Source organism: Homo sapiens, chromosome 18, assembly GCF_000001405.40.
Source record: "Homo sapiens chromosome 18, GRCh38.p14 Primary Assembly".
Classification (NCBI taxonomy): Eukaryota; Metazoa; Chordata; class Mammalia; order Primates; family Hominidae; genus Homo; species Homo sapiens.
Genome location: NC_000018.10, coordinates 59,560,641 through 59,584,383, shown reverse-complemented (window position 1 = coordinate 59,584,383; position 23,743 = coordinate 59,560,641). Strand labels below are relative to the sequence as shown.

General features: G+C 43.0%; 1 protein-coding gene across 6 annotated transcripts in view; it reads left to right on the top strand.

Annotated features, from left to right (window-relative positions):
- CCBE1 (collagen and calcium binding EGF domains 1) overlaps positions 1 to 23,743 on the top strand; it is a 266,783-nt gene that overhangs the window by 113,338 nt on the left and 129,702 nt on the right. The gene's annotated exons all lie outside the window — the stretch shown is intronic.

Genomic DNA, 23,743 nt, shown 5'->3' with positions numbered 1-23,743 from the left:
CCTAATGCTATCCCTCCCCCCTCCCCCGACCCCACAACAGTCCCCAGAGTGTGATGTTCCCTTTCCTGTGTCCATGTGTTCTCATTGTCCAATTCCCATCTATGAGTGAGAACATGTGGTGTTTGGTTTTTTGTCCTTGCGATAGTTTACTGAGAATGATGGTTTCTAATTTCATCCATGTCCCTACAAAGGACATGAACTCATCATGTTTTATGGCTTCATAGTATTCCATGGTGTATATTTGCCACATTTCCTTAATCCAGTCTATCATTGTTGGACATTTGGGTTGGTTCCAAGTCTTTGCTATTGTGAATAATGCCGCAATAAACATACGTGTGCATGTGTCTTTATAGCAGCATGATTTATAGTCCTTTGGGTATATACCCAGTAATGGGATGGCTGGGTCAAATGGTATTTCTTGTTCTAGATCCCTGAGGAATCGCCACACTGACTTCCACAATGGTTGAACTAGTTTACAGTCCCACCAGCAGTGTAAAAGTGTTGCTGTTTCTCCACAGAGGATTACATTTCAACATGAGATTTGCACAGGGACACAGATCCAAACCATATCAGTTTGTTTAAAGGGTCCTAATAAAAAGGCAGCCCTTAAGACAAAAAAATTGCCCTTCTCTGTGTGGAAAGATCTCTTCTTCAACTCAGTAGTCGCAGACATACACACACACGCGCGCGCGCGCGCGCGCGCACACACACACACACACACACACACACGCAAAGCAGTGACAGGGTAAGGCCTTAGGCTGCTATTTATAGGGGAGAAGCTTTTTTCCTCCTCATAATAAATCTCAATGGAAATTGATTTATATCACCCTTTAGAAAAAGGGCATTGGCCATTTGATAATGAAAAGCTAAAACCAAAGGGCAACACATTCTCATCTTGCTATGCTTCTCACTTGGGCACAGTTTTGCCCTCTACCTCCTCCTACCCCCAGGAGAAGTTACGGTCAGATCAGTGGAAGAAATGTCTGAAATCGTGGGCATTGAAATGGACAGCTGGGGAAGTGCCTTGAAGTTCCTTTTCATCCATGAGAATCTCTAATTTTGTATCTTCAGTAGAGTTTAGGCTATGTGTTCTGGGTTTTTTTGTTTGTTTTGTTTGTTTGTTTTTTTCTGTGGGCTTACAATTAAAGTTGAAAGTGTAAGTTTCAATTTAGTAAAAGTGCTTAACTGGGAGAACCCATCCCTGTGCTGAGTTCAGGTGATGAATCCAACACAGGGTTAGAAATTAGCCTTAAAAAATGGTTACCAGCCAAGCACATTAGCTCATGGCTATAATCCCAGCACTTTGGGAGGCCAAGGTGAGAGGATCACTTAAGCCCAGGAGTTCAAGACTAGCCTGGGCAACATAGATCCCATCTCTACAAAAAGAAAATTTTTTTTATTTAGTTGGGCATGGTGGTACATGCCTGTGGTCAGTCACAGCTACTTAGGAGGCAGAGGTGGAAGGATTGCTCGAGCCCAGGAGCTGGAGGCTGCAGTGAGCTATGATAGTGCCACTGCACTTCAGCCTGGGTGACAGACAACCTGCCTTAAGGAAGAAAAAGTTACCATGTCTCCGAAAGTTTGACTTTTTCCTTTGTAAAATTACATAATCTCTTCACAGTTAGCAAATTGAGTATTAGTTTTTTACCTAGTTAAAAAAAGAGTTTGGGAGCAGGGTAGATAGTAACTGAAAGAGGTTGGGTGTGGACTGGGGGGTGGCTGCCAGCCACCCTGAGCTATTGGGGCTGATCTTGCTGCTGTCAGGCTCAGCAAGGGCTCCCTTCCCCCATCACTACTCCAGGGTGTGTATGATGAGGAGTTGAAGAGCCTGAGTTCTTAAGCCAAGAGTCTCTTGCCTCAGTCTCTGGCAAAAGTCTCCAAATAAAATCTTAGTCTGTTTGCACAAAACATTTAAGTTTCAGCTTTTTCTTGTCACGTACTTGGCATTCATGGTGTGGTCTGGTGATTATGATTAGACTGGTACCTGCTCAGCTGAGTAAAGCCTCAGGCTTGGACAACATCACCTCTGAAGTCTAAGACCCTAGAAGAAATCAGTGGAAGTGGCATGGTTTCAGGTCACCATGCAGTTTTCTCTTTTGTCACAAGTATATGAGTTCAGGAGAAAGTATAAGAAAGTTAACTGACGGGGGAGAGGTGGCGGTGAAGACTTCATAGGAGAAGTTGCTTTTGACTCGAACCTTAAACAATGGGTAGGATTTAGCCTGGTGAAGACGAAGGAAGAGAGCTTTCCGGAGGGTACAGGAGCACCCTACTATGAGGCACAGTGGCAGACCAGTCAAGTGGGTCCACAGGTTTTGTGAGAAGAACAGGAGCCCTGTACCTGGGGGGTGTCTTAGGGGTCAGGTGCTAACCTCCAGTTCTCCCCTTTAATCTTCACACTTAGCCCATGATTCCTAAGGAGGGTTAGGATTGTCAGCAACAAGACAAGGCAGAGAACCCAAAACACTAAATGGAACTGCTGCTGTGGTTGGATAAGACACTTGAGTGCAGTGGTTCTCAGCGGGGAGGTGGGGGCTTTGGGCAATGTCTGAGACATTTTTGGTTGTCACAACTATAATAAATGCTACTGACATTTAGTAGGTGGATACCAGGAATGCTGCTAACCATCCTACAGTGCTTAGAACAGCCTTTCCAATTCCCCAGGGAAGAAGTATCTGGCCCCAACGTAAGTAATACAGAAGTAGACAATGCTGTAGTGGTTGGTGTATTTGGAGAAACCAGAAAGCCCCCTTTTATTCTTCTTTTCCTTAGGTTACTGAAAATGTTAGGAACCATGAGCTATTTCTAAGCATTGGAAGATGAGAATGTGCTTTATTACCCAGTGGATCTGGGTATTTCCAAACTAGGGTCTGTTAGTTACCCTTGGGCATAGCTCCTATTCCTGGTATCCAATATCTGTTATTTTGGGGCTTTTTTTTTTTTTGAGATGGAGTCTCATTCTGTCACCAGGCTGGAGTGCAGTGGCGTGATCTCGGCTCACTGAGATTTCCACCTCCCAGGTTCAAGCCATTCTCCTGCCTCAGCCTCCTGAGTAGCTGGGATTACAGGCATGCACCACCACACCCAGCTAATTTTTGTATTTTTAGTAGAGATGGGGTTTCACCATGTTGGTCAGGATGGTCTTGAACTCCTGACCTCGTGATCCGCCTACCTCAGCCTCCCAGTGGGCTTTTCTTTTCAAGAGAGCCGAGGCCACATGAGTGGGAGTGCCTTGAACATTGTCCACAAGAATAAAACTCTGTCTGATAAGTTTATATTTCTCTTGTCAATGTATATTCTACTCAGCCTCCCCTCAGTGTCAAGCGGTATGAAAAGTTGTCACTTCAGTTTCAGATGTGTTGGCGACTGATGCTCAAGTTAAAGGAAATAAACTAATCAAAAGCGGCAGCACAGAGCTCTGGTGCCTCTCCTCATCCACGGGAGAGATGGCTTCTAATGGAAAGCACACAGAGGTGGATTAAAGTCGCAAGCCAGGCCCCCCAGTGTGGCCAGCATGTCATGGCCACTTCAGCATTCTCTAGTCACCCACAGATGTGTGGCATCAACATATGGGCTAGACTTCTTCCACAGGAAGTTTTTTTCCCCTTTTATTTTGTTTTTAAAAAATTTGACTTAATGTAAAATGTTGGAAGTGAGCAAACAGTCCCATGGAAAAAAGAACTGGGTCAGGATCCCCCACCCTCGTCCAGACACCAGCTCCTACTTTGGGCAAGTCGCTTTACATTTTGGGGACTCCCTTGCCTGATATCACAGATAAGAATGTTGAACTAGATTATTCCCAAGATTTTCTAACCCTGAGACCTTCGATTCTGATCCCTGAATATCTGAGACAAGTCTCAGTTAATTTAGAAAGTGTATTTTGCCAAGGCTGAGGACTCATGCCCATGACACATCCTCAGGAGGTCCTGACGACATGTGCTCCAGGTGGTCAGAGCATAATTTGGTTTTCTACATTTTGGGGGCACATGAGACATCAATCAACATATGCAACATGAACATTGTTTCGGTCTGGAAAAGGCAGGACAACTCAAAGTAAAGCGGGACAACTTGAAGCAGGGAGGGGGCTTCCAGGTTATTAGGTAGATAAGAGGCCAACGGTTGCATTATTTTGAGTTTCTGATTAGCATCTCCAAAGGAGGCGATCAGATATGTGTTTATTTCAGCAGAGGGGTGACTTTAAAGAGAACAAGAGGCAGGCTTGCCCTAAGCAGTTCCCAGCTTAAATTTTCCCTTTAGCTTAGTAATTCGGGGCCCCAGTATTTTCCTTTCATACTACAATAGAGCAACAACTGCCTTTACCCTTAGACCCAAACTTTTCCCTCTCTGGCTTTCACAGAAGATCCATCCTATTCGAATCAGATGTGATTTGCTCTTCTCAAATTATGGAAAAGAGAGGAGCTTCAGGGTGATTTATTCTTAATGCTGTTCTTCAGATCCCAGAGGCATCTTTTTTTTCATGTGCTCAGCAGCAGCAGTTGTTCTAGGGGTAAAGGTGGTGGCTCAGTATGTTCGAGGTGTGTTCTGTCTCAGTCGGGGAAGTCAGGTCAGCATGTGCCAGTAAAGTAAATAGAAATCCTGAGACAAGGAATTGAATGCTGCTGTTCAGGGACAGTCCAGGACAGATCTCAGGGACAGAGACACTAACGCAGTAAGAGCCTAACATTCCGTTCTGTTGGCATGCTCCAGGCAGGTGGCTGCCACCATAGAGCATGTAGGAACCGCCGAGGGCCCTCTGGAATTGTGTGTTGTCTGATGTAGAACCGTTGTCATAAATGTGGACAAATGCATTACAAAATAAAATCTGATTAAAATTGTCCTTGGTTGGAACCAGAATAATGATAGTAGTTTCCAATCTTAGAGCACATTGAAAAGCTTTTTAAGTGCCCAATGCTTAGGTGACATACCGGGACCTCTGAATGAGAGTGTCTGGGGCTGGGACGTAGGAATCTTTTTTTTTTTTTTTAAAGATCCCCATGTGATTCTAGTGGTCAGCTGAGATTGAGAATAGCTGTTCATAGGAAATGTTTGTCAGGTGCATGATCCACGTCCTGTCTGCACATATATGGAACTGTGAATTGTTGCTTTTTTCATTTTCCTGCAGTATTTCTTTTGTTTTCCCAGCTACTTTTAGCAAATCTAGAGGCAAACAGGTGCATTTATCAAATACACAATTACAGTAGTTGTCAAAAAAGATAACTCACCTGTCAAGGCTTTGTTGAGGGGATTATTGAGTTTTAGGAGAAGTTGGATAAGAAATCATCTAGTATTCTGAGAGCGCAAAACTCAGTGATTTAGACTTCACTGGGGCTGAAATCTGTCTTTAAGCCAGTAATTTGACAAGCATCTATGTTTGTACTGTGACTTTTATGTCTTTACATTTTTTTTCTGATAAAAAGTATCTTTTTTAAAAAATTATTATACCTTAAGTCCTGGGATACATGTGCAGAATGTGCAGGTTCGTTACATAGGTAAACTCGTGCCATGGTGGTTTGCTGCACCCATCAACCTGTCATCTACATTAGGTATTTCTCCTAATGCTATCCCTCCCCTAGCCACCCCCAGCCCTGACGGGCCCTGGTGTGTGATACTCCCCTCCTTGTGTCCATGTGTTCTCATTGTTCAACTCCCACTTATAAGTGAAAACATGCAGTGTTTTCAGTGGTTTTCTGTTCCTGTGTCAGTTTGCTGAGAATGATGGTTTCCAGCTTCATGTCCCTGCAAAGGACGTGAACTCATCCTTTTTTATGGGTGCATAGTATTCTACGGTGTATATGTGCCATATTTTCTTTATCCAGTCTGTCATTGATGGGCATTTGGGTTGGTTCCAAGTCTTTGCTATTGTGAACAGAGCCGCAGTAAACGTACGTGTGTATGTGCCTTTATAGTAGAATGATTTATAATCCTTTGGGTATATACCCAGTAATGGGATTGCTGGGTCAAATGGTATTTCTGGTTCTAGATCCTTGAGGAATTGCCACACTGTCTTCCACAGTGGTTGAGCTAATTTACACTCCCACCAACAGTGTAAAAACATTTCTATTTCTCCACATCCTCTCCAGCATCTGTTTCCTGACTTGTTAATGATCGCCATTCTAACTGGAGTGAGATGGTATCTCACTGTGGTTTTGATTTGCATCTCTCTAATGACCAGTGATGATGAGCTTTTTCTCATGTTTGTTGGCTGCATAAATGTCTTCTTTTAAGAAGTGTCTGTTCATATCCTTCACCCACTTTTTGATGGGGTTTTTTTTCTTGTACATTTCAGTTCCTTGTAGATTCTAAATATTAGCCCTTTGTCAGATAGATAGATTGTAAAACTTTTCTCCCATTCTGTAGGTTGCCTCTTCACTCTGATGATACTTTCCTTTGCTGTGCAGAAGCTCTTTAGTTTAATTAGATCCCATTTGTCAATTTTGGCTTTTGTTGCCATTGCTTTTGGTGTTTTAGTCATGAAGTCTTTGCCCATGTCTATGTCCTGGTTGGTATTGCCTAGATTTTCTTCTAGGGTTTTTATGGTTTTGGGCCTTATGAAAAACAGGCATCTTCTATTGAAGCTATTTTAGCTCTGTAGATTGGCTTTCCTTTGTGACTAATTCACTTTGGTCAATCCATGTTATTGATTTATTTTTCTCTATTTACATCTGTTCAAAATTTCATACAGTAACACTACAACTACCTCGTTTGTTGAACCGCTAACACACATGGGGTGTGTGCCTATGTACAGGCATCGGTTTGTCTTTTATACCTCTGCTCATTTATTCATGGATACATATGGAATTGATTCTTAAAAATCCACAAATTCTTATTAACACCTCTTTCTACTGGCAGACAAATTTGAGCATATTTTCATCAAATGTGATCTCATATGTCTGGGGTAGACTTTATGATTCAGCTTAAGAAACTGGGGAATAGCAGAAGTGCCATCAATCAGGGGCAGCTTAAGCTAGTCCCTTGTGTCTTTCCAGGGGGCTTTCCTTTTATTAAATTAATCTTCAAACCCCCGCTGCACTGCCAGACTTGGTTTTTGTTGGAGAGAAAACCAACTCCAGCTGGAACTGCTGCCTGGAGACCTAGAGCAGCCTCTGAGGTTGAGCTGCCATCTGGTGACCCCACAAATGCTTTTCTGCCTAAGTTCGCATGGCCCCAATCATATGTTCAATGCTCAGCCTTTTCTCTCTCAACCTTCGCCATCCCTTTCCTATTTTCTTCCACATCCAAGACAGCTAAACACTCTCAGAAACAGACCCACCGCAAACACTTCTGCGTCTCCACGAACACAAGTTTACATGAGGACCCTTCGGAGAAGGAAATAAAGTATTGGATTTCTTTTATGTGCCAGCCAGCTGGCCTTTAGCTTAGTACCATGTTTTCTTTTGGTCCTGAGCATTTATAGGCATATCTGTGTCTAGAGTCAAGTTCAGAGAGAGAAGGGATTAGGGAGGAGTCAGAAAAAACATCTCTTTCAGGTAGGCAAAACCCACTATGCAGACTTGCTGGTATTCTCACTTCAAAAGACAGCAAACAGATCTTTAGGGAAAGGCACAGTCTGAGCGAGACATGCATGGATTCCAGACACACGGATGCATTTCAGCTCCTCTGTGTTTCTGAAGTCATTTGTTTCACACCAAGACAGAAGCATTGGAGGGAGTGGCAGGTTGGCAGAGCAAGTAGACGGGGCATGGCTGGGTAAAGAAACCACATGCAAGCCTCACTCACAGCTCATTGTTGTAGGGGAGGCAGCAAAAGCAATTTAATTCCACATTTTGTCACAATCAAAATAAGGGCAGACAGAGGCAACTTTTAGTCTTATGCCTTTGTCCACTACAGCTTTGCCCCAGTCATAAACACCTAGGTTTTTCACAAGTCTTAGGCATTGTCCCCATTTAACATTGATATTTCTACTAAAGCTGTTTATTGACAAAAATATTTACAGACTTGAATATTTTCCTGAATGTCAAGTGTAATGAGCTACTTTAAAAACAGCCATCTGAATGGTACAGCCATTTCGGAAAACACTGATATTCTCTTATGAAGTTCAATTTCACACTCATCAAGTGACCTGGCAGCTCTGTTCTTGAGTACCCAAGTGAAATGAAAACATTTGTTCACACACACTCACAAAACTTGTATGCAAATATTTATAGCAGCTTTACCTGTAACCTCCAAAACCTGGAAACAAGCCAAATGCCTTTCATGCGTGCTGTTGTGGTATATCCACAACGTGAACACTAACTGGGCAATAAAAAGGAACATACACTCATGAATGGATCTTAAATGCAAGAACGTGAATGGATCTTAAATACATGATGCCAAGTGAAAAAGGCCAAATGCAAAAAGATTAGTAACTTTTCTTACACAGGAAAAACTAGAGAAAAGCAATCAATGTTTGCCTGGAGCTGGAGGGGAAGGGGTTAACTAAAGGGACATGTGGGATTAGGGTGATGTTCTGTATCTACATTGTGATGGTAGTTACTGGCTGTATACTTATCGATTCCAGCAGAACTCCATCTATGCAAAATTGGCGAGGTGGGAGGGGCTCTTACCCAGTATGACCTGCTCTGGGCATGAGAATTGTAGCTGCCAATGTGGATTATGACCAGTCTTCCAGATGATTACCTCTAGCCACTGCAACTTAGGACCCTATCAATGATGGTCAAATGATTGGTTAAGAAAGACTGAGGAAAGACTGCATGAAATGAGAACTTTGCAGCGAACTTAAGCATAATATTCACAAGACTCTACAAGGGTCAACTGGTCTTTATTCTCTTGCTCCTCTCTCAAATTCTGCCATCCTTTGTCAGCATTGATCATATTGTGTTAGTCTGTATTAGATATTAATTTCTAGTATCAAAATCCTGACTATAATTTGAACATTCTCAGTCTGAGGATGCTTTTATTAAAATATCTCATCATTATTCCTGTAGGTTTGTCCCAAATGCTGGCTGGCAGCTTTGTGGATAACCTAGAAAAGTGCACTTTCCCCTTGACCTTGTTCTGCTCTTTCACCTTTTGCCCTGTGATCCACACCTGGTGCAGTCTGCCTCCTTGCCTGTTTCCCATGAATTCTGTGGTAGGTAGGAGTGTGGATTAGTTTGCTAGGGCTGCCATTAAAAAGTGCCACCAACTGGCTGGCTCATAGAGGAGAGATTTATTGTCTCATAGTTCTAGAGGCTGAAGTCTGAGATCAAGGCATCAGCAGGGTTGGTTCCTTCAGAGAACTGCCTGGAAGATTCTGTTCCAGGTCTGTCCTCCACCTTCTGGAGGTCTGCTAGCCATCTCTGGTGTTCCTTGGTGTGCAGGAGAATCGCCCCGATCCTCTGCCTTTATCCTCACATGGTGTTTTCCCTGTGTGTGTGTCTCTGCATCCAAATTTCCCCTTTTTATATGGATTGGATTAGAGACCCACCCTTCTTCAGTATGACTTCGTCTTACTAATTACATCTGCAACAACCCTACTTTTCAAACCTCACATTCTGAAGTCCTGGGGGTTAGGACTTCCACATATATGAATTTTAGAGGGACACGATTCAACCCATAATGGAGTGTGTTAATTCTTTTTAACAGGAGGAAGAGTCATCTACCTAGAGGTATAAGCTGAAGTCTGTCCTCACCCCAGGCAAACACATGGATGCCACAAGACCTATGTAACAAAGCTAAACACCTTGCCAGGCTACAGTATAACAGAGAATATCCCTGCAAATCTGCTTCATGAAAGTTACATTAACCAGCACATTTTTTATTTCTACTTTCTTCCTCAAAAATAGAGTATAGAAGTTTAAAGTTATATTTTTGTGGAATATATGTGTAGAGTTAAGATGAAATAACTTTTGGGAGGAAGTTTGTGAAATCAGCTCGTGGTTTTGACTCAATTTATAACAAGTCATGTTAGGCCAATATAATTTCTACTACAGTGTTGTAGATATAGACCCCGTTTCTCTAATACACCCCATTGGCCATTCATTTCCTGTAAGTGTGGCTTATTAAGTAAGATGTTTTATGGTACAACTGTGAGCTTACATTTCACATCTTCAGTTTCTTTCAACTAAATTATTGGAAGTTCTAAACTAAAGACACTTTTTGGGCAACTAACCGTACTATAAATTCTTTGAAAATATTGCACTGTGGTCAGTTTCAGAATCACTGTGGTCTAATCTAGACTCAGTGAAAAAGCCATCTAACATTATTATAATCAGATCACATGGGAGGCACTAGTGTGAACCAGTGATGCCTAAACTCTGAGTTATGTCAGGAGTTACTGGGCACCTGGGTGTAGCCTTTTTTAGTCCCAGCTGCTATTCCATTTATGCCTCGTAGCACAGATAGAACATGTCCTGTTTGAAATGAGGGAAAACTGAAGAACCAGAAGAGCATTTAGAATGGTAATTATTTTGAAGATTTTGACAGTTCATTCATTTAGGAAAAATATATTTCATACCTATTACATGAAACTATTTTTAAAACTGACATTTCCTGTCCTTGAGATGCTCCTGATGAAATGGGAAAGCTAAGCATGTAAATAGCTGAATCATTTAATATACCAAATGGAATCATGGAAGCATAGGTTAAGTTCTGTAGGATTCTGGATGTTTAAGGCAGTGACTCTAACTTGTAGTAATGATAGTACAGCAATAACTCCATTTTCTGCTTGTGAAGGTGTAGGCAGTAGGATTTAAGATAATTCTTGTAAGTTCCCTGATTTTTTTTTTTCTCTGCACTTTGAACCAAGTTATTTCAACTAAAATGGTGAGAAAAGAGTGTGAATGTCTTGGAGACTCTGGGTTAAAAATTAGGGTTGGGGACTATATGTTGGTCAGGAGTCCTCAGAGAAACAGAGAAGTTTATTTTAAGAAATTGGCTCACACAATTGGTGGTGCTTCGTAAGTTAAAACAGTGTAAGCTGGAGATTGAGGTAAGAGCTGATGCTGCAGTCTTGAGTCTGAAGACTGGAAACACAGGCAGATTTTGTGTTGCCGTCTGGAGGTAGGAGTTTTTCCTCAGTAAGCCTCAGTGTTTGCTCTTAAGGTCTTCAACTGATTGGATGAGGCCTATCACATACATACATATATATATATATATATTAGACGGAGTCTCACTATATTGCCCAGGCTGGAGTGCACTGGCACAATCCCGGCTCACTGCAGCCTCTGCCTCCCAGGTTCAAGCGATTCTGGTGCCTCAGCCTCCCGAGTAGCTAGGATTACAGGTGCGCACCACCTTACCTGGCTTATTTTTGTATTTTTAGTAGAGACAGGGTTTTACCATGCTGGCCTGCCTGGTCCTGGAACTCCTGGCCTCAAGTGATCCACCCTCCTTGATATCCCAAAGTGCAGGGATTACAGGTGTGAGCCACTGTGCCCAGCCTTATGCACAGTATTAAAGGCAGTATACTTTACTCAAAGTCTACTGATACTGGATGTTTATCACATCTTAAAATATCTTTACAGCAACACCTAGACTAGTGTTTGTCCAAGCAACTGGACACCTTGGTCTAACCGGATTGACACATAAACTAAAACCATCTTAGGGGCACACACGTATACTCTTTAATGTCTTCAAGACATTGCGTCCTCAATGAAGCACAAATGTTCTGAGAAGTCATAGTTTATTCTTGTGAAAATGGTTCTGGGATTCAGTTTCAGCTGCCTGCCCTCTGAAGACTGTCCCTGCCTCCCTATTAAGCAAACATATCTCTATTTGCTAAACTTTGAAAGGGAATAAGGCTAACCAACCAATAGAAATTATCCTGACTGATTTATATATTTTGACATTTCTCATAAAGCAGATTTTTTGAACAATGTGATATAAAACTGTGATAGAGGATATTAAGGAAAACTATTATCTAGTGATTTTCTTGAAGTATTTCATTTGGAAGCATGATCATATCAATCTCTGGTAAAGTCTATGTTGTGCCATTTCACATGGTTTTAATTATGTTATAAAAAACCCATATGATATTCTAGAATCTCAAAAAATCGATCTGTAATAACAGGAAATCCAGGACCTTTTTTATTTAGTCTCTTTATAACAACAATTGGTTCCAGCTTCACAGGGCAAGGGGGAAAAAAACCCATAAAATTTGTGACAGCTACAATAATACTGCCTTGGCTCGATTAAACTCAAAAGCAAGCTGATTGAGGGATTGATTTGATAGTGCAAGACATTTTGAAAAAACGTGTGTTCACTCACTGTCATGGGCTTCATGGTTTATTTCTTTTCATGCTCAGTAACTATGAAAATGCCAGCAAATGTCAAGTAAAAAAATTCTTTTCATTTTTTGTTTTCTTCTCCAGATACCATGTCTGCCAAAACAACCACAATAAAAACCCACTTTGGTGTCAATCTTTGATCATTCTGAAAAGGATGTAGGCTGTTCTTGGATTTCTCCAGAGATTAAAGACTAGACTAGAATTTCCAGTAGTCTAAAGGGTGAACTGTGTCTAAACAACATTTGCCACCAGCTCTCGTTAAAATCCAGATTGATGAGCCCCTCCCCTAGAGTTGCAGATTCAGTAGGTCTTGGGTGAGGCCTGAGAACTTGCATTTCTAATTCCAAAGTAAGGATCATACTTTGAGAGAATGACTCTTCTGTACGTATGAGATAAAACATATTAAGAGATTAAATCAACCTCATTATAAGCCCTCCATATATGTACAGATTTTCCATTTCATCCATATGTTTATTCATTTATTCATTTTAGTACTTAATGGGACTACTATAAGGATAGATTTTGTTTTTTAATGATACTTTAAGTTCTAGGGTACATGCGCACAACGTGCAGGTTTGTTACATATGTATATATGTGCCATGTGGTGTGCTGCACCCATTATTCATCATTTACATTAGATATATCTCCTAATGCTCTCCCTCCCCCCTCCCCCCATTCCACAAAAGTCCCCGGTGTGTGATGTTCCCCACCCTGTGTCCAAGTGTTCTCATTGTTCAATTCCCACCTATGAGTGAGAACATGCGGTGTTTGGTTTTCTGTCCTTGCGATAGTGTGCTGAGAATGATGGTTTCCAGCTTCATCCATGTCCCTACAAAGGACATGAACTCAAGGATAGATTTTTTAAAATCACTATTATCGAAGACCTTAAGATCTAATTTTTTTAAAAGCAAGAAGAAACACATAAGGAAAAGTTACATAATAATGTAAAGCAATAATATACGATTACTTGCCAAATGCTTCAACCTTTCCTGATGTCATTAGCAAGATGACTTCTAAAAGGGCTGCGTTAATTCTGGCTTGCTCTACTGTTGACCCAAAAAAGGAGCACATTTCACTCCTAGGGACTGACTGCTATTATACTCAGAAGTGGGAGGGTGAATTTCTGGCTGAAGTTCATACGTTACAACTCAGCAGTCGACTTACTCTTGTGATGGAGCATGAAATTGAAGCAATATGGCTCCCAGCTGAAGGACCAGCTTTGTAGGATTCAGGCCCAGGGCACTGCTAGGGGACCATATAAATGACAGAGGCTCTGATGTCTCGATTTTCATCCTGGTTGGTGGGCAGCCTAGGGGACGTCCGGCTCTCCTGGAGCCAGTGTGCTGGGATTCTGCTCTGATTCCTTGGCTCAGCAGCAGTTCTGTCCTTTGTCCTTTCTGAAAACCTCACACACAGAGCAATTTAATATCACGTTAATGAGCTGCCTGAGGCCCTTGGGAGGTCCTGCCCCACCCCCGCCAGCACATCTCCAAGGATGACTTCCCTTTCATTTTCTTGAGAGGTCACTGCCCTGGCAGTGTCGCAGAATACTCTCCTTCCCCTCACTGTGATCTCAGGGATCCTGGTAACAAGTCTTGCTCACTGCTGTCTGGAGCTTACGTCAAATCCAAGAGAATGTATGCAAAGTCTCGCAGAATCCAGAAGTGTTACAGCCAGCAGACCAGAGACAGGCACTCCTTAGACATGATTGATGCCCCTCATCAAAAACTGGTGGCTGACTATCTTAAGTACTGGCTTTGAGGCCTGGCTTTCAAAGCCCCTCCCCACAGAGCAGATGGTCTGAGGGTGGCCCTGCTTGACCTCACTAAACGTTTTGTGTCTCTTTTGTGTGGGTTCATGTTCCCCAGCACCACCTTATTGTTCCTCTCCCTTGTGGGTTGTGCTTGATGACAGCATTGGTCAGTGGTGTGCAGCTTCCTACTTAATTATTCATATCAGAGTGATCTAGCAGAAACTCCCTCTCCCAGGCTAGATCCTAAGCTCCTAAAGGAAATGAATATTCTTTACCCTTTGCTATTTCTCACCACATCTAAAACAATGTGGAGCGTGTGTTCAGGAAGAGCTTGTCAAATGACAGGCAAATGAAGAGTAACAGATCTTCAAAAGTAGAAAATGCCTTTGATATTCTGTTTAAGAATGAGAGAAAGAAGTTGTAGAATCTGGCATTATCTGGGTAGTGATACTTGCCTAAGAAAAGGGAGCTGAGGCCGGGTGCAGTGGTTCACTCCTCTAATCCCAGTGTTTTGGGAGGCCCAGACAGGAGGATCACTTGAGGCCAGGAGTTTAAGACCAGCCTGGGTAACAGAGCAAGACTCCATCTCTACAAAAACAAAATTAGCTAGGCATGGTGTTGAGCACCTGTAATCTCAGCTACTTAGGAGACTGAGGTGGGAGGATGGCTTGAGCCTGGGAGTTTGAAGCTGCAGTAGGCTATGATTGATTGTGCTGCTGTACTCTATCCTGAGCCACAGAGCAAGACCCTGTCTCTTTTTTTTTTTTTAAAAGGGCGGGGGGAGATGAATTGCTAAAAATAACATCTGTGTTCAACATTGTGTAAAAAAGAATTTGGGCTTTGTGCCTCATTTTGACTCTAATTTACTAGCTGTGTTATTTCAGCTACTTCCTCTTTGACATTCTGTTTTCTTATCTGTAAATTGGGAGTTTGTATCTGGCTTGCAGTGCTAGTGCAAAAAATAAAGGAATTGATGAATAGATGCAAAAGATAAATCAACTAGTGAATAGTTCATGGCATCTGAAATCTAATAGGTGCTCAAAATATCTGTTTTTATTACCAGATATACCATTTTTAGGACAGACTGCTAGTAAAATCGGCATCAGGTGAAGCAACAGATTTAGAAGGAGTCTTCGGTTTCTGGCAAGCTGGTACAATAAAGTGCTTAATACCTTCTTAATGAACCACAGCCAACCCAGCCCTTATGAGACAGATGCTATAGCTTTCTAGATTGGGTTGCTGGAGGGAGAGCCAGACTTGCTGGGTAGCCACTCATGTGAGGAGAATTGTTTGAATAAAAGGAGAGAGTGGAATCGAACATCGTTTGGAGATAACCCGAGATGCACCCCTCTGCAGAGAGGAAAAGGAAGTAGGTTTGAGAGTGGAAACAGCCAGTGAACAGAGACGCAGAGACATCCGTGAAGGTAGTGGGTGAGAGCACACTCAGGCAGGACTAAGGTGGAGGTGGCAGGTGGGAGGTTTAGTTGGCAAGATGTCCCTGGATAGAGAGAACTCATGGCCTGCCCATGTCCTTTACGTGTGAATCAGCTTGCTGTGGCACTGCAGCCTACCACAGTAGTAAGCATGCTGTTCACTCTCACAGATGGGCAGAGGTGTCCAGGTGATCACCTGCAGGGCTCACCTTGGCTCAATACATTACCTTCTGAGAAGCTGAGGCCAGCAGTTGGGGAAGGAAACACATGCCCATCTGATGAAATTCAGCTGGACTGGGCCGCCTACAGCGTGCACTGTTTTTGGTCTGCGCAGGTGAACTGAGCAGATGCAGCCTATCTTCTAGCTCCAAGTTGCTTCAGTTTAGCCATCTTCTCCCTAGTTCTCATGATCAAGAAAGGGAGTAATCAGAAGACTTATGTTATTAGAGAGTCTCTTGAAACCTTGCTAAGTAGAAAAGTAAATAGTCCATTGGTTTCTTCTTGGAGGCCACATAGAAAAAGGTGCTCAGAAGTCTGTTCACCAATACTCTGTGCTAGCTCCTTTCGAGAAGTCTTGGGGAGAAGTAATACCAAGTGTTTTCAGTCACATCTGTACTAAACTTCCCACTCACCTCTCTGGCTGTCCTGTCCATTTACACGGTCTGTGCAGTAGCTAGTCATTGAATAAAGCAGAATCAGGGATTGTGGGTTATCTTCTTATAGGGCACATGAGTAGTTTGTGAGAAGACAGCATTGTTACAACAGGGCAGAACCTCACATTCTGCCAAAAAAAAAAAAATAGGCCTCTTATTTCTGCCAGATAATTTGAGATATCAGGACTTGGAGACATTCAGGTTTGGAAAGTGCCAGAAGAACCCCTGCAGAAACCCACTCTTGCCCTGAAAAGGATTCTCCTAACCGTGGTTCTCTCTATATGAATTCGGACTTAAAAAAATAGAAAAAGAATAGCTACCACAGCGATTTCTAAAAATCTATGAGCAAGAAGAAAGTTCAAAAACAAATGAAGAAAATTTTAAAATACAACAATTTAAAAATAGCATTAGGAAAGGGATGGATGCTTCTGTATGTGATATGTGTCTGCTGATAAAACCTGGAAGGAGTTGTTGGGCCTGCTTTAAATCTGCACACTGTTGGCAATGACTTTTAAGTACGATCATCTTTTTCCCTGTCAGTAACAGAACAGTGTGGTGGTGGTAGTGAGCAAAGTCACGTAGTTGGCAAGTCATGAATAGAGTTTCAGACAATTTTAGGCAGAACGTAGGATATCATCAGCCCTGGAAAATGACACACAGAAGGGGTGTCAGTGACCAGCAGAGCATGGGTCACTGATAGAATTGCTACATTAAAACCCGATCCACTTGGGTTGCAGCGTGGGATGGGTCTTGAGATGGAGTCAAGGAAAAAGCATGACTGCAATCATTTGCTTCCCATCGCTGTCTGCTGGATTTCCCCATTAGCTAACTTAGGCACACAAGCAAGAAATGTCTAATGAAATAGAGTAAATAAAAGAAAATGCAGCCAGGCGCAGTGGCTCACGCCTGTAATCCCAACACTTTGGGAGGCCAAGGCGGATGGATCACCTGAGGTCAGGAGTTTGAGACCAGCCTGGCCAACATGGCGAAACCCCATCTCTACTAAAAATACAAAAAATTAGCTGGGTATGGTGGTGGGTAGGGTAGCTGGGTATGGTAGCCTCCCAGCTACTTGGGAGGCTGAAGCAGGAGAATCGCTTGAACCTGGGAAGCAGAGGTTACAGTGAGCCGAGATCACACCACTGCACTCCAGCCTTGGCAACCAGAGCTAATCTCCATTTCAAAAAAAAAGAAAAGAAAAGAAAAAATGCGTTTAAAACCTCTTTCAATAAATCCAGGACATCATGATGAGAGGAGACCTTAGAAATGACCTAATCCTCTCACCTCTTTGCTTACAGATAGAGGGGAAATAATCTGCAGAATGATTTGTGGTCCTAACATGGTAGCTTTATGAGGCTCGTTCTTTAAAAAGAATTCTGCATAGTTTATCTTAATTGTTCATTTCACCCCGACTTTCATCATCGTTCTCTCACAATGTCTTCTGAGGCTTTAGAGATTTTTTTGGTAGCTAAACATTCCAGGAAGCAGCCATCATTTTTTTTCTTGGGGGTTGGGGCAGCAGCGGGTGGGGGTTGGACAAAAAAAGAGAGTGGTGATAGCATTTAAGAAGCAAATGTTAGCCAGCTGCACTGTCAGTGGTAGTATTTCTTAATAGGAGGATTTAGGGACTTTATTAATATGTTCAGATAAGATTAGCAGCATTTGCAAACATGATCTTTGGCAATCTACACCAGAACAGAACAGCTCAGTTCCTTTCTCAAGACAGTTGAGTACTTCTTTCCTACTTTATCAGTGCCTTTTCCAAACAAATGCCTGAAAACCATGTATTAAGGATAAATCTGGCGATTTAAAGTTACAGTTGTTTCATGTCATGGTACTTCCATCATCTTAGGTTGACTTTTAATTTTTTTTTTATTTTTGCTTCCATTTTATAGCTTTTCTAAAGGTAGTTTTAATTAGGGTGAGTGGTAGATTATGCATATGAGCCTATTAAGCAAGCCTGCTCCATATTGTTTCCTTGCTGGAAATTTTCTCTCAAAGATGGTCACAAGAGACAAGTGACTGACCCAGGGACTTTATTTAAATAATGAAAATGGTTATGTTATGAATGGCCCTGGAAGAGACATTGTGTGTCACCCTGTGGGTGGAAAGAAAATGATACTGTGGTAGAATGATGTGGAAACCATGCATCTGATTGATTTCCTGACCTGCTGCCTGCGGGGCACCCTGGTAGCCACGGTTGCTGTTGCAGTGTGTGTCCTGGGTATTTCACTCTCAGTTACCAGATATGGCTTTTTCTTATTCACTGTTCTCTTATGCAAGATAATAGAGCCTACTGCAGTGAGCTTTAACACTGCCTTTTGGGTCTCCAAGGTCAGAGGTAGTGACTCGGGGTCTTTGGCAATGCATTTGGGGGATGGGGGAGTTCAGGAGCCCTGACGTAACAGCCTGAGAAGATGCACCTGAGACTATTTTATGCATTAGGTTGAGTTTTGCATTCGATTTTCTTTGGGGAGAAAAAAGCTTGAAAACCCAGCAGTGTGTTTCAGAAGAGAACAGGCTGTTTATCTGTACTGTTCTTAAAAAAAGAAAAAAAAAAAATCTAGTGACAACCCGTCTTCCCCTCTTAGCTACAGGGTCTGGGTTTTTGCACAGGGCCTGATGCTTACTTAAAAGGGCCCTATGCTTAGTTTAATGCTTTGCTGTCGCCATCTTGAAAATTCTTAATTTTTTAAATGAGGTGTCCCATAGGTTCATCTTGCACTGGGCCAGGCAAATTACAAAGCTGGTCCTAATTCTAAGGTCAGGCACTATGTGCAGTAGGCCTCAGTGGGGCCAGGTGTGGGGCTGGGCTGTAGAGAGTGAGTTATGGACATTGTGGCCCAGCCTGCCCCTCGCCCCTGGTTACCCAGCCTGAGTGACAGCCCTTTGTCTACCTCGTACCACATCTTTCTTGCTGTGGACCCAACACAGCCCTTTGCAGCCCTTCTCTGATGCTCTTCATTGAGGGCCAGACCTTGATCCCCAGTCCTGTGCCATTGGTTGGAGCCCTGTTCTGAACAAAACACTTCCTAGAACTCTGACAGCCTTCATCTGACTAAACCCCAGCCCTGGTCATTCTCTTTTCTACTCCCCTTCCTCCCTCCCTCCTCTACCTACCTACATTTTTGACACTCAGAGTTAACCAAGAAGACCACAAGCATGACAGACTCCAGAGTGGACTCCTCGTGCTCCCCTGAAGGGTGGCCCTTGCCTCTACCTCACTGTCTGTTCTCCCCTGTGCTCACCTTTCTCCCTCAGGGGCTTGTGTTAGCCAAGCCCATCATGAGCAAGGGAACAAGGCTGACTACTCAGTTCTGTTGCAGTGATCACGCTGGATTTTCCAAGCCATCATGTTTATGGGTTTTAGCTGAGATTCATGTGACTGATGCTTGAACATATACTTTGCAGTCCCCCTGTTGATGGCCTTTAAATCCCTCCTAGATCTATTCTTTATGTTCTACTTCTACCACCATGGACCAAGGCCAGGCTGTCATCACTTTGACCCTGCATTAGCAAATGATCAGCCTTTCTCAATGGTCTTCAGTTTCTCCTTTCCCCAGCCAACCTCATATGGCCTCAGTGTTCATCGTCTTCATTCCAGCTGCAGTATTTGAACACACCCTCTGTCCGGAAGACTGTGCCAGATGCTATGAAAGACATAGATGTTTCACACGAATCCCAAAGACTTCATAAAATAGTTGGTAAGATCAGTGAAATACAAGCCAGTTAGTAATAGATACCTTCTGAAGGGTACAAAGAAAGTACTGAAGACATTGTCATATATTTAGGTTGTTTCTAGTTTTCTCATTAAATATACTAGTATAGAAATGGTTTAATGACCATGATCTAGTCATATGATGAAATAATATGCAGCTCTATGTACTGACAATGGAAAATATTCAATATACAAAGTAAAAACACAGTGTTTATATGTGTGTGTGTATATATATAGTATCTCATTTTGTGATCTCATTTATATAATTAGTGCATAGGAAGTATAAAGTTGAGAGAATTATGTCAAATGACGATTGTCTAGATAGGATTAAAGAGGAATTTACCCTTCATTCTTTATGCATTTCTATAAAATATGAATTTTGTGTAACTTTGTATTAAACTTGTAAATATAAATGAAACACTTTCGAAAGGAAAGTTTTAGAGTTAAGAGGAAATCAGGCTTTAAGCTGCTGATAGTTATAAAGATTGTCTTTATGTGGCTCCTAGAGTCAGATTGCCCTGGGAAGAATGTCTCACCATCTCAGGTTTGTCCTGCTTCTGCTGTTCACACACCTCCCTTATGCAGCCTTCTGGAACTTTCTACTCAGCATAGGTTCATCACTCCAGATGGTTATTCTCACGTCTATGCTGCTGTTCATGCTATTCTCCCTTCCTGAGACGCCTCCCCTCCTCCAGTTAACTTATTCCAGCCCACTGTTCATCACGTTCCCTGCCCCAGCTTGCCCAGCCAATGCTGTTTCCCCTCTAAACATCGAGGTACCAATGATTTGGGGTTATGATCACGAACAACTCTGGTACATTTCTGGAAATGTTGCACATGTTTTACTGACTTGTAAATCCTAAGTTCCTTTGTTGGGAAGAACTGGCTTCTGATCATCTTTTATGACCTCAGTGGCATGAGAATTCTGTGTTGCTAGTAGGCATTCAACAAAGACTTGGTGACTGGAATCATAGCCCTGGTGCTGAGCTTCCAGGCGTCCACTGAAGCTGATCCACTTATACCAGCAGGGGCCTTGCCCTGTAGGGTCTACTGCTTCTCAGCCTCTGGTGCCCTTTGAGCCTGTCTGAGTAGGCCCACAGCCAGAATCAAATAGTGATGTTATCTTCCTGATTCACAGAAAAAAATATGGCTGAATTTTTACTTCAATTTTTCTATAATTTCGTAAATACCCTGGATGCTTGCTACTGATAGTCTGCTTCCAAATGTTGGCCAGATGGCCAAATGAATGCACAAGTAGCAAACAAATAGTATTTTAAAAAATCAAGAAAAACTAATTGTGCTTATTTTTAGCAGATTTGTTCTATTCTTCCCCCCAACCCCCATCCACATGTATTCTAACAAGCAGAGTTGGGGTTTTATATTGGAAACAAGACAACATTCCATCTTGTGTCTCTCGCTCAGTCCATGCCTGGACCTGTACCTTTACCTCTGCAGTTGCCATTTGATGTTCTGGGCAGCTCACCCACCTGGTGGGGTTGTAAGGGTTGCATTGCTCTCTTCTGTCGTCCTAGTCTAATCGTGGATACAGATTTCATCAGAGAACAAAAATACATAAACTCATAAACATGCCAACAGTCTTGTCTCTGTTTTGGGCTTAAGCAATCCGTGACTTATATGGAAGAGTCCATTCCCTGAACACCACCACTCAAACTGGGAAACAAACAAGAGAACTGAAACAAACGAGATCGAAACCTCTAAGGCGGCCTGGCCACAGGCTCAGTGATGGCACAGAGGACATAGAGACACATGTGGCCACAACATGTGAGGGAGGCTTTCCACACCCCCTGCATGAAGGCCACTGAATTAGGGACAGCTGAGTGCTCAGGGAATTTTCAGTGACCCCAGATGAGGGGGTGTGCCAGTAGTTCATGAGGTAGTCTTGACCCCAGCCAGAACTAGGATGGGCCAGGGAGTAACAGGTAACAAAAGTGTACTGTGTGGATGGGAAAAACACCTGGATTCCGGCCAGAACGTACGCGTGTGCACATCCCCTCAAAGTAACTCGGGTAGAAAGCAGGTTTATTATTGAAAAGATCAGGGGACTGACATGGAGATGGAGTGTAGGAAATCAGTTCCCATGTGGGCCCACATTATGTCATTTCTCCACCTCTCTGGAGCCACAAGGTCTGTTGTCTCTGCCTCTCTCTGTGCAGCTGGTTGATTTTCTAGTCTCTGAAGTGTACCAGTTTGTCTGTGGTGGGAGAGGATTACCCTCCTCTTTAATTCTGATTCACATTGCTAAATTTCTTAGTTAATAATCTAAAAAGATAGGTTCTGATTGGTTCCTGGTTTACCAATGGATTGGTTTTTCTGTGGGTCAGGTGTTCATGCCTAGCCAGTCAGCTTGTGTGTTTGCATGTATGTATATACACACATGCATGAAAGACCATACTAAAAGGACTAAGGGAGGTAATGGATTTTTGATAGAATTTCACTGTTTTAACTTATCTTTATGTGTAAGTATTATTTAAAGCAGTCAATAAATAACTCAAGTTTACAAATCATGACCTTGGCTTAAACCTAGACCTATCTTCTCTGCCTACGTACTTGTTAGATCTGGGGATTCAGATCCAGCTCCTGCTGAAGTCTGAGGGGAGAGGGTGGGTGAGCAGAAAGAACACCTCAGGGGGCAATAGGCAGGTAAAACATGATATTATCCAGCAGCAGCTCTCTTCAACAGCTTTCTCAAAGTAGCTTTCTCAGCAGGAGCTTACTCTCACACCATCCACCCTGTCTCGGCTGCTTGAGCTGGCCGCCCTCACACACAGCTGCACAGCCGGCTCTCCCTTGCCTTCAGGGTCAGCAGCTTAACTCTTTCTCTGGGCATGAGCAAGCCAAGCTGTGTCCTTGCTCCCTCCTGTCAGTCTTGCAGATGTACCTTCCATTCCACTCTCTTACTCTGGGCGCTAGCATGCCCGCCATGCCAAACCATGTTTAGCTGAGCCAAGCCAAGCCCCAAGAGCCCAAGAGCACCTGTACAGTGTCAGCAGGGCAGTTATACCTTTTACAGACAATAGTGGCATAGGGCTAAGGGATGGCCTTCCCATGTTATGGCTACATGGCTGTGATAACAAGTGGAGTTACACGCCTGCACTCTAAACTCACTGAGTCACTGTGGCCGGATGTCTGCCTCGGTCTATTCCTTGACCAAAGCACGTCCATGTAACTTACACTCCACCCCCTAGGCTGAGGGAGACATAGGGTTTGGACACACAGGTTTGATATACAGGTTTTGCACACAGGCCTGACGTAATTTTGGGCATGCAGGCCCAATACATACACATAGGCTTGACATATAAACCTGACACATAAGCTTTGGGCATGCAGGCCTGATACATAACTAAGCTTTTGGGTACACAGGCCCATTACATACATGAGCTTTGATAAACTGCCCAGCTATTGGCGCAGATTACCATAGGAGTTACCCTTTTGGTGATTATCATTTACACTGCCCTGAGCTTAGCTCATTCAGTACTCTGTTTCCACTTGGTTTTAAACCATATGGTGTCAGTACTAGGCTGGACCACACCAGCAGGCCCATCTGTGCACCATGTCCCATTTGGAATGGGGGGACGCTCTTCCTATCAGTGAAGGCTCAGGGTCTAGGAGTGCCTTAGGCCCCATGGCCTTATCTTGCATTAGGACTACAGGTCTCAAGACTTTTTGTAACTCTGCTGCTAAGGGACTTGTACTTTAGTATGCTTCACTGCTCTAAGTAGGTGCCCCACTTCACTGAAGTGGATGTCTGTGCCGTCCCTGTCCGGGGAGTCGTTATCCATCAACACACCCATCCTGCTATTGGGTAAGTTGTCCACGTGACAACTGTAACCCGCCCTGCCACACTCTTATGAGCCAGAAGGGCAGCATATGCAGTTACTAACTGCTTTTCCAGTCCAGGGAGTGGTTACTCATGAACACACCCTGCTTTTGTTTTTGTT